The following is a 15,386-nucleotide window of genomic DNA, read 5'->3' as shown; positions in this document are numbered from 1 at the left end:
CATATTGGTCAGGCTGGTCTCGAACTCCTGACCTCATGATCTGCCCACCTCAGCCTCCCAAAGTGCTGGGATTACAGGTGTGAGCCACTGTGCCCAGTCCCTCCTTGTAATTTCATGCCCTGTGCCCAGCCTTTTTACTGACGCATCCTGGAATGCCCTTCTTTAACCTTGCTTCCTTCACCACTGGAAAAAGTCTACTCATCTTTCAAAGCTCAGATCAAATGTTCACGCTGTGATACTTTCTTTAATACCACATCCCATCCTCAAGATTTAATTCCCTCCTCGGTCCCTTATGGCTGTTCTATTATTAGGTTGGTGCAAAAGTAATTGCTGTTTTTGCCATTAGGACCTAATGAGTTAATAAATGAGTTAGAACAGTGTCTAGCACATAGTAACCACTCAAAAAATGGCAGTTACTTACATTCTTAGTGTTACCGTTGCTAAGTCCTGTGTCATGTAGAAAGATAGGTGTTTCTGGAGGGCAGGAACGGGAACAGTATCATATTCCTCTTAGAATTCTTCCCCACTCACCAGCCCAATATTGTATGGAATCGACCAGGGATCTACAGACACTTATTGGAGTATGTAGTATCTTATATTTGTCAAGTGCTCTACAGAATGCAGAATCTGGCAATATCATCACCCATTTAAATTTCACAATAGCCTTGCGAAGTTGTTACTGTGCTTAGTTTACAGATGAAGAAACAGAGACGTAGACATTAAGTGAATTGTCTAATGTCACACACAGCCGGCAAGTGGCAGAGTCTCCAGCTGCAACTTGAACTCCAAGGTCATGAGAGAGGAATGCAAGGACGCTGGGGATTCCGGGCAAGTTTTTCTTTTCTGGCCCAGGCAACAGCCTTGGTCCTTCACATCCTTTTTCTTACTGCTGAGAACATAGCCATGATGGAGTGGGAAGGCTGCAAAAACATGAGGACTCCATTCGCACACAGAACTGACTTAGGACAGGTTGTGAACAGGGGAAGGCTATTAATACAAGATATCCTCAGCTGTGACCGTGGCCTCTTCGATTTTGGTCTTAATCTCAGGGAGGGGAATTTGACTGATCGCCACCACGACCAAGTTTGCAGCATGGGCCGAAGCGCTGGCCACGCAGATCCAAAACGACTCTTCATACTGTTCTTCCACCACCACAAACTGGAAGAGCTTCTCCTGAAAGTTGGCGATTCGTTCCGTCAGGTCGTGAAATTTCACCGCAGCCACGAAGCTGGCGATGGCTAACGCCACGACGCCGCCTGAAACTCAAAAAGGTCACCCTCATTCACGGCTCCTTTTTGCAACTCTGTAAGAGGTGGCATTTCTGTGCCACGTGTGACAAACTTGCTTTGGGTTAACAAAATTATGAGGAAGACATAAGTTTTAATTTGCTTTTAAAAGTAGGAGATAACCCACACAGTATGAAGGAGAAAGGCAGGATTGTGCGGGGAAAGAGAGGATCTGCTTTATCAGCTTTGAATTTCCACCCCTCCAATTATTTTTGTTTGTTTGTTTTGAGATGGAGTCTTGCTCTATTGCCCAGGCTGGAGTGCAGTGGCACCATCTCAGCTCACTGCAACCTCTGCCTCTCGGGTTCAAGCCATTCTCCTGCCTCAGCCTCCTGAGTAGCTGGGACTACAGGTGCCTGTCACCACAGCCGGCTAATTTTTGTATTTTTAGTAGAGATGGGGTTTCATCATGTTGCCCAGGCTGGTCTCGAACTCCTCACCTCAAGTGATCCATTCACCTTGGCCTCCCAAAGTGCTGGAAGTACAGGTGTGAGCCACCGCACCCGGCCCACTCTTCCAATTTTTCCCCTTACCCAGTACCATGCTTCCTAAGGATCCACGTTTGGAGAAGTTCATTGTCTAAAATATCCTAGGATTTCTATGAAGACCGTGAAGGCTATGTGGCAAGATGTAAGAAAAACTGTTGCTCTCCTGTTTAATTATCCTCCTTCCATGCTTAAGGATAAGGATGACCATTCATAGAAAAAGGAAAGGAGGGAGGGGAAAACTGGAAGAATTCCAAACTACTTCCCTATGTTTTGCTTGAAACTTTGACTTTCTGGGAGGAATCTGTCTCTCTCTCTCTCTCCCCCTCTCTTCCTCTGGTTTCAATTTTAATTAATATTTTTAATAACACATTTATGATGCTTCTTAAAAGATTAGTATATCTTCATCGAAGAAAAATTTGGACACCAGAGAAAATCATAAGCAAATTTACTTTTATCCTAAAAGCCAGCTTGAACCCTTTGAACATTTTAGTGTTTTTCTTTATGTTTCTTTCTCTTTAAGAAAATTAGTATTATGGTGTTCTTACTTTGATTTTAAATTTGATTTTTTTCCCCTCACTTGGACATTTTTACGTGTTGTTACATATTCTGTTACAGAATGACTTTATTGTCTGTTTTTATTTTTGTTTTTGAGACAGGGTCTTGCTCTGTCACCCAGGCTGGAGTGCAGTGGCATGATCACGGCTCACTGCAGCCTCGACCTCCTGGGTTCAAGCGATCCTCTTGCCTCAGCCTCCTGAGTAGCTGGGATCATGGGTGCATGCCACCATGCTTGGCTAATTTTTGATTTTTGTTGGTTTGTTTGTTTGTGGAGATGAGGTCTCACTATGTTGCCCAGGCTGGTCTTGAACTCCTGAGCTCAAGCAATCCTGCTGCCTCAGCATCCCCAAGTGCTGGGATTACAGGCGTGAGCCACCGTGCCAGGCTTACAGCATGACTATAAATGAGTGCATAGTATTTTATGCACTACACACTATAATTTATGTAAGTATTTTTAGTAGAGACTAAACAGTCTCTACTAAATTATAGAAATAAGGTCACACACTATAATTTATGTAAGTATGACCTTATTTCTGGATGTCTAGATTACTTCTAATTTTTTGATATTATAAAGTGCTACAGCAAATACCATTTTATGTACATCCTTGTTCTCTTGTCCAGTATTTCCTTAGCATAAATTCAAACATGGAATTGTTTAGTCAAAAGATATTCAAAGGCTATTCACCTTTTTCTGCCTTCTGACACTACAGTGTTGTTGTTTTTTTAAGCTCAGTGGCAAGAAATAAAGTTTTGTCAAAAGACATAAAGCTTTGCCTGTTTTTATTTTTTATTTTTTGAGACAAGGTTTCGCTCTGTTGGCTGAGGCTGGAGTGCAGTGGCATGATCACGGTTCACTGCAGCCTGGACCTCCCAGGCTCAAGCAATCCTCCCACCTCAGCCTCCCTAAGTGTTGGGATTATAGCTCTCAAGCAGCTGAGACTACAGGCACCGGACACCATGGACAGCTAATTTTTTTTTTTTTTTAGAAATGGGGTCTTGCTGTGTTGCCCAGGCTTTTTTGCCTGTTGCTAATACTCTCATCAGTAGAGTCTGAGAGTGCTATCTCTCTAAGGAAAGGAATGGACAGAGATAAATATTTATTTAATAAGCAGCGTTGAGCACTTTTTACATGACAGCCTCTGTGAGGATTCATGCAGATGAGGAAGACACCTGTAGTCTTGATGAGGGTAAGCCATGTATGTAAACAATTCTACAGGGTGGCTACCATCTGCAAACAAAGGCAAATACATAATAATTGATTGATTGATATACATTATAATACATAATAAAATAACATTACCTGTTTTTATATTATTCTTGTATAAGGTAATCATAGCGAGGGATTATTGTTCTAATGGTACCTTGAATATTTGACCTGAGTTTTCTGTGACAGCCCTCATTTCACAAGATTCTGTTATTTTCATTACAGATGATTTGTTAAGTGCATAATTAAATGTGAATTAATTTCTGTGCATCAATATACTCCCAAATCAACATGCGCGCGCACACACACACACACACACACACACACACACATCTTGTAGTTTTTGGCTTGGAAAACAGGTCATGATGGTCATAAATGAGAGCATGGATCTGTGGAAAAATAAAGAGCTTAGAATCAGTTACACCTAGGTTGGAATACCACCTCTGCCACTCATTGTGGTGCGACTGTTTAACTTCTCTGAGCCTCAGGCTCTTCATCTGTAATTGTGGGTCTAATAATACCTCCCATAGGGATGTGGTGAGATTTAAATGAAGCAATGCATGCAAAATCTCCAGGTCCCTGCCCAGCCCTTAGTGGTTGCTCAGTAAGTTGCATCTAGTTTAAGGGCATGGTGCAGTGAAGGTGTTGGGGAGGTGAGAGGAGGGAGAGTTGAGACAGCCAGTGAGCCACGTCTGCATTAATATGCCCAAGTGTGTGTGTGGGGGGAACACCAAAGACCTTGGCAACTAGATGGCACTCACTTCCCCTTCTCAACCCAGAGCCTGAATGGAGGAGCCTTTCACGAATGGCCTCTTGCTCACACTACCCTTCTCTTCTGTCATTTGTGGAGTTCCTCCCAGCCTTAGCTGCAGCACCAGCTCCATCTCTTTCCCATCTCAGGGCCCCCACCTCTCCCTACTTCCAGCTCTCTGTCTTCTGGCTTCTTCTTTCACCTCGATCTCTCTTCACTGCTCTAAGCCCTCAGCCATTCACGTACTCTAATAAGATGCTTCTTTGTTGTGACAGACTCTGCAACTTAAAGAGGAAATTCTTGAGCACTTTGGGAGGCTAAGACAGGTGGATCCCTTGAGCTTAGGAGTTTGAGACTAGCCTGGGCAACATGGTGAAACCTGTCTCTATAAAAAATACAAAAAATTAGCTGGGCATGGTGGTGCACGCCTGTACTCCCAGCTACTTGGGGGCCTGAGGTGGGAAGATCACTTGAGCCCAGGAGGTCAAGGCTGCAGTGAACTGAGATCGCACCACTGCACTTCAGTCTGGGTGACAAAGTGAGACCCTGTCTCAAAGAAAAAAAAAAAAAAAGAAAAAGAAAAAGAGGACATTCATTCCATGCCCATCAAGAAGGTCTTAGACCCAGGAAGGTCAAGGCTCCAGTGGGGCATTTTAGTTCCTTCACACCTTCTGCCCAACTACTTGGAGCCCAGCCCTATGATGGTGTGGACATAATTTTCTCTCCCTAAGGGACTTCTTACCTGCCAGGACATTCCATAGGCAGATGCCCCCAGGACCGCTGACTGCCCGGTACGGGACCTGGATCATGTTAAGAATGGCAAAGCCCATGCTGACCAGAGCCAGGGCCAAGGCCAGGAAGAGGAGCAGCAGAATCATCACATGAAGGCCTGCGTTGAGCTCCTTCACCAGGTGTGGGAAGACTGGGGAGACAAGACACAGCCACTATTTCAATGTCAGAGTTAGACTCACTTTCATGAAGTCCAAGCTTGCTTACCACGAAGGCTTCGACAGACAGGGGTGAGGGCAAGACAGCAAGCGTGGGGATTTCAAACAGCGGGAGACTTTCTGAGATGAACTCATGGCCCCCAGATTCATGCTTGTCAGTTGACCAACAAGCCTCTGTTCCTTAGAGTGGACACAAAATCAAAATATGCCCTGGCTGTCAATTTAAGTTGCATTGAGCTTGAAGCTCTGGGATCTGATGTGAACTGATGCACACAGGCCCCAGTGACTTAGCAAGGTAGACCCTGGCTTATCCCCATGTATGAAGGACACATAATTCTCACGTTGCACAACGTTTTATTAAAATATTAATTTGCCTTATGAGTATGGCAAAATAAGTTAGTGAAATCTTAATTCATATTTGTTTTCTCTATGTTTGCCAGCAGTACCAGCTGTGAAGATGAAATGACATAACATAATAGAGTAGCTCAAATAGTGCCTGGGAAAGTCAGTTCTCAAAAATGGCAGCTGTGGTTATTGCTGTTATATTTTGACAGTCTTGGGAAAGTCATGTGACTTCTCAAGCCTCAATTTCTTCATCAGTACAATGGGGATAGTAATCCCTGCATATGAATTGAGGATAATCAACATTTACTAAGTGCAGTCATGGGCCAAACATTTTACATCGTCATCTTGTTCAATGTGCATGACAAAGACATGAGGTAGATTTTATAAACTCCTTATACCCACAGGCTTGGAGACATTAATTGCTTGTGTTTGGGGAAGGCAACTCTTAATTCTATATAAGATTATAGTTCAATATACTATGAGAACAAATGTGACCCTGAAAGAGCCCGTCCTTCAAGATGGGTCCTGAGTGGTTAACTGGCTCTAAATTTAAAGTAGGGCCAAGTGGCCATTTACTGACTAGGGGGTCACACGCATCTTCTGAGTTCCTTGAAAACCCACACCTTTTTATCTTTGAGATCTGCCTCAGCCAATCAGGGCTCAGCTGTAATGACCAATCGGGGCTCAGCTGTACCAGCTAATCAGGGTTCAGCTGTATCCACCAATCAGAACTAAGTGAATTTGAATCCTTTATTTACCCAAACAGACCTGACTGGAAACCTGGGTGGGAACTTTTGCTATAAAATCTGAGCCTTCCCTTTCTTCTCTGGAATACACCTTCCTTTTACACCGGAGGCTGTGTTTCCCTGGTTTGCAAACCGTTAACTGGAATAAATTCTTTACTCCAAATTCCTTTTCTGAGAACTGTTGTTCACAACTGTATGGTATCAACAGTGTCAAGTCATGATCTTTAGTAGTTTTACATGAAGAATTGAACATTATGAAAGCTACAGAACTTCTGAGCATACTCATTCCTCTGCAATTGCTCCAAGGTTCCTGCTGAATACCCACCCTGATGGAACTAGTTCCTTTGCTGGTTCACCTGCCTCTCTTAGTCACTGAAGGTTGGCGTCTCCCAGTCCTGAGAACTAGAGTTTTTGTTTTTCCCGTTAGGTGTCCCGTTAGGTGACACATTTTCAGGCACTCCACGTTTACATTGTGCGTTCTGATGTTTCTTTCCAGTTCTGAATTTCCATTTATTTTTATCTCCCTATGGTTATCTAATCAGCATTGGAAACTTTACCCTGGAAGATGAGCTCCTTTCCAGTGAGTTTGTCTTTGTAAAGCGTCTTTCTTCCCTGTGCTTCTATCCCATCTTAATGTCCCTTAGATTTTTTTTTTCTCTTTTCAAACTCTCAGCCCCTTTTTGTTTCAGACACAGTAGCTTGTGCTGATATTTATTTATTTTTATTTTTAAAGACAGAATCTTGTTCTGTCACCCAGGCTGGAGTGCAGTGGCACCATCTCGGCTTGGTGCAACCTCCTTCTCTCTGATTCAAGCAATTCTCATGCCTCAGCCTTTCCAATAGCTGGGATTACAGGCACCCGCCTCCATGCCTGGCTAATTTTTGCATTTTTAGCAGGGACGGGGGTTTCACCATGTTGACCAGGCTGGTCTCAAACTCCTGGCCTCAAGTGATCTGCCCGTGCTGGGATTACAGGCATGAGCCACCAGACCCTGCCGCTTGTGCCTGATTTTTAAATTGTTTCATTATCCCCTTTCTTAACCAGGCAATCCTTAGGACACACGACTAACATAGTAATGCTTACCAAAACTCTTACAATAGAAAACAGTCACCTATGTGAATGGTAAAGATCAAAATGTTTGCTAAAACACCGTGTTGACAATGGTGTAAGGAAGAGGCACTCTCAAGTCTCATAGAAATATTAATTCATGTAACCTTGTTAGAGGGCAATTTGGCAACATCTACTAAAGCAAATTCACTTCTAGGAATTTATTTTCCAGAAGCACTCCCACATGTGCTCAAAGCGTGGATCAAATATTGGATATTCATTACAATAGCAAAAGATTGGAGAAAAAACAGTATGTGAATAGACTGATTTAATAAAGTATCCATAATGTCCATAATGTATATAATTCATCTTTTAAAAAGAAAGAATTATATCCACATAATGATTGAAACCATATCCAGATTTGATTTTTAAAAATTGAGAAATAATCATATTAGGATGACGGGGGAGAGGGAATTTGGGGAATGTGGAGTGATGTGGAGAGGGTGGTAAAGAGTGCCCAGTCCTCGGCCTTCATAGTAGGAAGTGCATTAACTATAATTAAAAAATACTTATTGGCAAAGGGCAAATCTCACTCAACCCCCACATTCTTGGGCCATAACACAGGGCTCAGGACCTCATGTTTAATAGAGATTTTATTATTTTTTAATATATGTCATTATTTAGAAATTCGAGGCTGGGGCAGTGGCTCATGCCTGTAATCCCAGCACTTCTGGGAGCCATTATGGGGGGATTGCTTGAGGCTAGGAGTTGGAGATAAGTCTGGGCAACATAGCAAGGCTCTGTCTCTAAATTAAATTATTTTTTAAAAAAGAAGAAAAAAGTAGAAATTCAAATCATTTCTCAGGAGTGTTAATGCACCAGTTCTTTCTACTTTCTCACTGAGAGGTGACTCTGCCTTAGCCTGACACCCAGTGCTGCCCTAGGAAAGCTGTTGCTCACTTGCCTTTCACATTTGAAATCCAGGTTCCAAGAGTTTTAGATGTCTCCCACTAGGAATTAAATTTAAGTTTCTAGCTTGAAATCCATGACCCTACACACGACTCATGGTGATAAATGACAACACGATTCATGGTGATAAATGACAACAGCCACCTATATGGGGTGCAGACTATGTGCCGGTGGCTTTATACATATTCTTTGTTCTGTTGCTCATGGACACCCTCTCTCATGCTTACAAATGAGGAAACTGAGGCTCGGAGAAGTGAAATAGCTTAGCTACGCTCCCACAGCAAGAAAAGTGTCAGCTTAACTACTCTATTACAGGGCTAGAGCAGAAAAATCAGAAAGCACAGATAAGTAGAGGTTTAAAATTCTAAACATAGAGTCTTTTGAATCCTGGAGGTCTCATTTTGAATTTGAATAGATATAGTTGTTTCCTACACATTAGAGGCAACTCACTTGAAAGCAGAATTGATTAATCATTCTATCAGCATCATTCTATCAGCATATGATGCATCTATCAGCATCTATCAGCATATGATGCATCTATCAGCATCTATCAGCATCTAAGATAATTTGTTTGCTCCGAATCCCAGAGAGGTCTGGCAGTCCTTTTCGCCCCAGCAGGGCAAATAAGAAAAGCAGGACATCTGAAGTCAAACCCAGGTCCTGGCCACTAGTGGAATACCTGTGAGGCAGGAAGTAGAGAGGAACCAGAGAACTAAAAGCTGCAAAGCAATCTATTACATTAGGTGCTTTTAAAGAAATTATTTTATGTATCGATTTCTCTGGTCTCTAATTTCCTCATCAGTAAAATGGGCGTAATAAAATCTCTTCTCTAGCATAGTAAAAATGGAAGGAAATGAACTACAAGGCAATGGCTTCAGATACTGTGTTCTGTGCCTAGTATATATTTATCTGCCTCTCCTTTATCAGATGGTAAATTTTTCTTTCTTTTTCCTTTCTCTTTTTTTTTTTTAGATGGATTTTCACTCTTTTCACCCAGGCTGGAGTGCAATGGCACAATCTTGGCTCACTGCAACCTCCACCTCCCAAGTTCAAGTGATTCTCCTGCCTCAGCCTCCTGAGTAGCTGGGATTACAGGCACCTGCCACCACGCCCGGCTAATTTTTGTATTTTTAGTAGAGACGTGGTTTCACCATGTTGGCCAGGCTGGTCTCAAACTCCTGATCTCAGGTGATCCACCTGCCTTGGCCTCCCAAAGTGCTGGGATTACAGGCGTGAGCCACTGTACCCGGCCAGATGTTAAGCTTTTCTAGGGCAAGTACTTGTCTGGTTTGTTCATCCCTGTTTTCTTAAGAGCCTGGTCTGTAAATACTCCATAGTACAATTGAATGTGTGGACAATGCTAAAGTAATGTTTGTCTTTTTCTTTCTCTAGCCACCCAAACAGCCATGTTGACTTGTTTTTATTTCATAGGGCCTGGGTATAAAAAAAGGACCTTAATCTTTGCGATGGATAGTTCTTTGGTTTTCTCCATGATTGGCGTGGGAATTTATTCCCCTGGGTGATTTTTTGGGGAGGCCTCTGTGATGAGAAAAGTGGCTGTTTGTGAACGAGACCCAATAAACCTCCCCATCCCAGAGTTTGCAAAGCATTTTCACTTACGTCCCCATCTACACTGATCTGCGACTGTGGGGATTATTTTTTTTTTTTTCTACAGATGGATAGTGAATGGCAGAAAGAGACCCCAGGAGAAACAGACTCCTGGTTGTGGGAGGCTCTGATATACCCCGTAGCTGCCTCGAGGTTACACTGTGCTAGAATTAAAAGCTGTAAATCTAAAGGAGACTAGACTGGCACTATCAGTGTCCCTGAGCTGTACTGGGGTAAAGCCAGCCAAGCACAGGAGGAACCTGGCCCCAGGCTCCTCGTGAATGCTTTGAAAGAGAATCACATCCAAGGTACTGCGAATGGATGTTTACAGACCCTCCTCTGAGACAACCCCAGGGCAGCAGGAAACAAAACCTTCTCAAATACGCTCCTACTCAGGGACAAGAATAAAATGTCCTTTATGCTTCTCACAGGGTTCTGATGCTTTCCAGACCAGACCACGTTAGATGAACCCAGGGGAATGTTTCCCATTGGTGTCCTTCTAAGAAGGAAGAAGGAGGAAGGCAAGAAGTACTTACTGAGTTCCTCCAAGGCTCAAACAAAATATGCATTTGTTTGCAGCTTCCTACTCGAAGCAGTTTACATTTCTGTGAGCTGGGAATGGCAGGGGTCTGGTCATTAGGTTAATGCTGGCATGTGACTGCTGTTTAATCTTCTCACCCCATTCAAGTTTCAACGATTTACCTGTTGGGGTTCAGAAACCAACACCCCTAAAATATGAAGCTTTGTGAAGAAGTCTCAAGGTCTCTCTGGCCTCCCCTCTCCCTCGTGTCTCTCCATTCTTTGTCTGTCTCATAAGCACAGGATGAGGTTGTTCTCTGACATTCCCTTACCTGCCTACATCCAGACCTACCAAAGAAAAAGACCTCTGGTCCCTTCCCTGAGTGTTCATTAATTGTACCCATATCACAGGAAGAAAGACTAAAGTCTGTTAACACAGCTGGACAGACTTTTGTCACAAACCAATGTCTGCTCTGTGGGCTCAACAGACTTTGTCCCAGCTCACTGTATGTTCTTTAAGCCCATTGAATTTCCCTAAAAATAATTTACTAGTCCCCTAAAATCATCCACACTTCCCCATCTCTCTTTCCCCTAAGATGAAGAGGATACAACCACCTGTACCCCATTGAGATAGCGGACAATCACTCTGTGATTTTTCCCCTATGCATGCTAATAAATGTGTAAGCCATTTTCCCTATTAATCTGCCTTTTGTCAGTAGATTGTTTAGAGAACCTTCAGAGTGCAAAGGGGAAGTTTTCTTGACCCCTAAAGTCCCGAAGACATCCTTTATAGCAAAGCATCTAGTTCAGAATCGAGTAGTCCATGTAGTTGTCATGGTTAGCTTTTAGCATTTCTTTTTTTTATTTGTTTATGTGTGTGTGTTTTCAAGTTTTATGTTATAATTTTGATGGAGCTATTTGTTCAATATCCAGGGTCTAATCTAATTGCTAGGTAAATATAAATATGCCCAGACATATTGATCTTGAATATACATAACAAATGTAAATTTTTGTGTGTTTAAATGATGACAATTTGTATTATATTTGTCAACGGTTCCAGCTTTTTGTCCTTATAAATTTAATACGACATTTACCTTGGCCAGATTTCTATAAACTACTACAATACTGAAATATAGAAATCAAGGAATGAATACAATTCTGTATCACCCTACATTGGCATGGTATTGATTAATTACGGTTTTGTGCAGACACTTTTCACCAGTGATCTCATCGATTCAAAAGGCTTGCAGAATATTGCCTGTTTTGTTTTTTCCTTTCCAGAAGCCCGTTCCTAAGTCCAGCTTGGATTCCTGTTTGTGCAGACTGCTCTGCTTACATCCTGGGCAGCTCTGATGCTACACTGAATGCCAGCCAAAGTCGGTGCCCGCTCACGTTCACAGAGAACAGGCAAGTGCCTTGCTTGAGGTCTCCCCACCAGTAAACTTTCCAGTAGGGGTTTCAGCCAGGGTAGTCTGATTCCAGAACCCAAGCACAGTGCCCCTTTGCATTTTCTCAGACTATGAAGCTTTTACAAAAGTAGATGTGGAAAGGGTCATCATGCTTCCCAAAGGTTCAGTTCTGCAGGCAGCCTCCACCCACTTGTTGTGGTCATGTGGCATGGGTCTGGAGTCCGGCTCTACTGTTTCCTGGCTGGGTGACCTCAGGTAAGTTATGTAACCTCTCCAAGCCTCAGTGTACTCCTCTGGAAAATGGGAACATTAACAATTCCTTCTGTATAACTTTGTTGTAAGGCTTTAAGGAGACAAGTGGCGTGAGGTGCTTACAATGTCTGACACGTGTAAACTCTCAATATTTTAATAGTCATAATTAATAGAGGTAAACTGCAAAAATGCACAAATCCTTATTTCTAATGTTTCTATACATCTCTACAGAAAAAGAAAAGGAAGCAAGGAAGGAAGGAAAGATCTTTTTGATGTGGATCCAGAACCCTTGGCTCACTGTGGACTTTGACATTATGCCTGACGTTGAGGCAGCAGCCAAATTCCACAATGAGACATAAGCACTCTTACACATTAACAAAAATGAGTGCCTAGAATCAGCTTTCATGCTCCCAATATACTCACTCGTGAATTGGGATTGGCGGCCCCCAAGCCCACACTGCCGCACTTTACACCCTCGGAAGAGCCCGTAGTAAATGTCCCCAATGAACTTGACCAGCTCTCTGTCTGTGGCGTTGACCAGATCCACTCCAGTCTGACAAAGGATTTTCCCACTCAGCCAGTGGGGCACTACCAGGGCAACGATGATCAGGATGAAGGAGGAGAAGCTGAGTAAAGACGCCAGCCCATACCACGCCTTTTTGAACCATCCAGGCATGCTAGTGGGTGCAGGTCATCCCCAAGGTCTCCGAGCAGCAGCGAGGGTCATTGACATCTTTCAGATACTCGGCAATGCTCTGCTCCAAGGTCAGCTCTTCCAAACACTCTGTTTCAAGGTTGTAGGTCCATCCTCTCGTCCTCCTTCAGCGCAAGCTTGCACAGTCCATGCTTCCTACAACCACATCCAGAAGCCTCTACAGAGACAATCTTCACCTGACTATGTAGCGGAGTGTGTTACTGAAGGAAGTAACCTTATATCTCCTCCTAGACTAATGTTTCAGCAGACTGTTTAACTGTTCCTCGTTTCAAGTATTTAAATAGCCCTGGTGTGGACCTCGTAATGATAAAGGAGTTAGTAATAAGCAAAATCAGGTAGCTCTGAAGATTAAGAGACGCAAACCAATCTCAAAAAATGCATGTGTTAGAAGGAAAACAAAAACAGAATGATTAGCACTTGAATATTGCCAACAATGCGCAGTATCAAATGTCGATCTCGCTGATGCATGGGTGCCCTGGCATTTCTTTCTCTGAAATGTCACTGCTGTCAGAATCTTTAGGACTGTTATTAATACCATCAAATGACCCCGGTTCTTGGGGCTTTAATATTGAAATGTGTAAATAGGGCCTTATGAATTTCTCACTGTGTGAATCTGCTGGGGGTAAACTGTGACTAGAATTACTTTGTGGCTGTTGGGGTAGCCTGGAATCCAACACTTAACATTGCTCTCACCCGTCCCTCCTTCTACGTTATCTGAAATGGGAGAGAAAAGTGTTTTTCTAGTGTATTAGCAAATAGTAGCCACACTGCTGGGGTATTCATCTCTTCTAATAGTGGAAGATCTAGGCTTTCCTTTTAATCTGTAGATACTAGGAATGAAATATTCTTTCCTTTCTATCTTATACTGTGGACTTTGACATTTTGACTTTTACCTTATTCCTGAATATCAACTTAACATCATGTGAGACTGGCAACAGTCACTCTATCCATATCTCTGGGGAGCAAAGTTGGGCAAAAGTGGAGCAGTAAAATTTCTTAGTTGGTCACAGAAGCCTGAAGGGGGGTTCAGGAAGTTGCACTGTTAACCAATAGGGGTCCCAGGAATCTCACTTGGAGAGTGTCAAGGAAGCAGAGGGACACATTAATGGAAATGTCAGTTTCCTTCCTCGCAACTGGGGCTCACTTCAGTGGCCACTCCACAATGAAAATAAAAATGAGAATTTCTGAGCCTGGGCAATGTAGTGAGACCTTATCTCTACAAAAAATAAAAAAAAAAAATAGTTGGGCCTGATGGCGTGTATTTGTAGTCCCAGCTACTGGAGGCTGAGGCTGGAAGACTGCTCCAGCCCAGGAGCTCAAGGCTGTAGTGAGCTATGATCATGCCACTCTGAGTAACAGAGTGAGATCCTGTCTCTTACTATATATACAGATGAGTGGCACTTTACCATGTACAAAATGCAAAATGCTTTGACCATATGCTTGCTCACCTCTGATGCTCCAGCAACCCTTTAAGGTAAACAGGAGATGCACGATTTCAGCCATTTCTCTCATGAAAAACTGGATGTCAGTGCTGGGGCTGAAATTCAGGTCTTTGAATTACAACAGCTCATCTTCATCCCAGTGACTTTGAAACAGCAAATGTTTTTCTGGTAAAAAATAACAGAATACATATAAAAGGCTCAGAAGACTGCTTGGCACATTAAGTGATCAATAATGTTAGTTCACGTTCTTATTTTAACATTAAGCATGCTTTGACAAGTCAGGACTTGCGTAAATATCATTGAGTCATATTTCTGCCGTCAGTGAGGGACCTGTGTCAACTTTTGGTGTTTTGAGGGTTAAGCAATTGTTTTCAGAAAAACTCTAAGGGAAACACTTGATTCCCAACAAGCCTTTGTCTTGCTGAACAAAGGTGTGGTTAAGTGGAACTCTAGCTATTGAAGACCTGTGTTCAAATTCCCACTCTTCCAGACAAGTGTCTGTGACTCTCATGCCTCAGCTTTCTAATCTGCATAGGATTATCGTGTGGAGTAAAGTGAAATAGCACAGGCAGATCACTTAGCGCAGTGCCTTGGATATAAGGAGCACTAAATAGATGGTGCTCTCCTCTCCATCCAGCCTCCTAGCAGTTCTATTTCTGATAATGAAGCTTCTGACAACAAAATGTGCTGCTGGCTGCATCCTCTTCTCTAGTGACATATTTCTGCATGCTTTACCTGGCACAAGTTTACTGAACAAACATCTGTGTCTGCTGTGTACAAGGTTATATGTGGATGGGAAGTGACACAAAGATGTATGTAATACAGGGTTCTGCTATCAAGAAGGTTATGAGAGTGTTAGAGCTCTGGTTCTCTATCAGTGATGAATTTGCCCCTAGGAGACAACTGTTAAATCTGGAGATATTTTTGATTCTTATGAGTGAGGGGTAGGGGTTTGCTATTGATTTCTAGTATATGCAGGCCAGGGATGCTGTAAATATCCTACAGTACCCAGGGCAGCACCTGTCACAAATAATTATCTGGCCCAAAATGTCAGTAGTGCTGTAGATGAGAGGCTCTGTGTTAAAGATACAGGCCATGG

At 42.8% G+C, this 15,386-nt stretch overlaps 1 protein-coding gene across 1 annotated transcript; it reads right to left on the bottom strand.

The window, feature by feature from the left end:
* Nucleotides 1–968: 968 nt before the first annotated feature.
* On the bottom strand, nt 969–12,908 carry CLRN2 (clarin 2). Its single transcript, NM_001079827.2, has 3 exons — nt 12,554–12,908; nt 5,030–5,209; nt 969–1,256 (listed from the first exon to the last, which is right to left on the bottom strand). Exons 1-3 carry the CDS (start codon nt 12,804–12,806, stop codon nt 991–993), a joined length of 699 nt encoding a protein of 232 aa, NP_001073296.1. The 5' UTR covers nt 12,807–12,908; the 3' UTR covers nt 969–990.

This window comes from Homo sapiens, chromosome 4 (assembly GCF_000001405.40).
Source record: "Homo sapiens chromosome 4, GRCh38.p14 Primary Assembly".
Classification (NCBI taxonomy): domain Eukaryota; kingdom Metazoa; phylum Chordata; class Mammalia; order Primates; family Hominidae; genus Homo; species Homo sapiens.
This window is presented reverse-complemented; position numbering and strand designations above follow the sequence as displayed.

Bases quoted from the DNA above. Each gene is read 5' to 3' on its own strand.
- CLRN2 (NM_001079827.2), bottom strand. From the start codon at position 12,806: ATGCCTGGATGGTTCAAAAAGGCGTGGTATGGGCTGGCGTCTTTACTC. The intron at 5,210-12,553 runs GTGAGTATATTG...TTGTCTCCCCAG, and splicing joins CCGCCAATCCCAATTCACGA to TCTTCCCACACCTGGTGAAG. The intron at 1,257-5,029 runs GTAAGAAGTCCC...TTTGAGTTTCAG, and splicing joins CCTATGGAATGTCCTGGCAG to GCGGCGTCGTGGCGTTAGCC.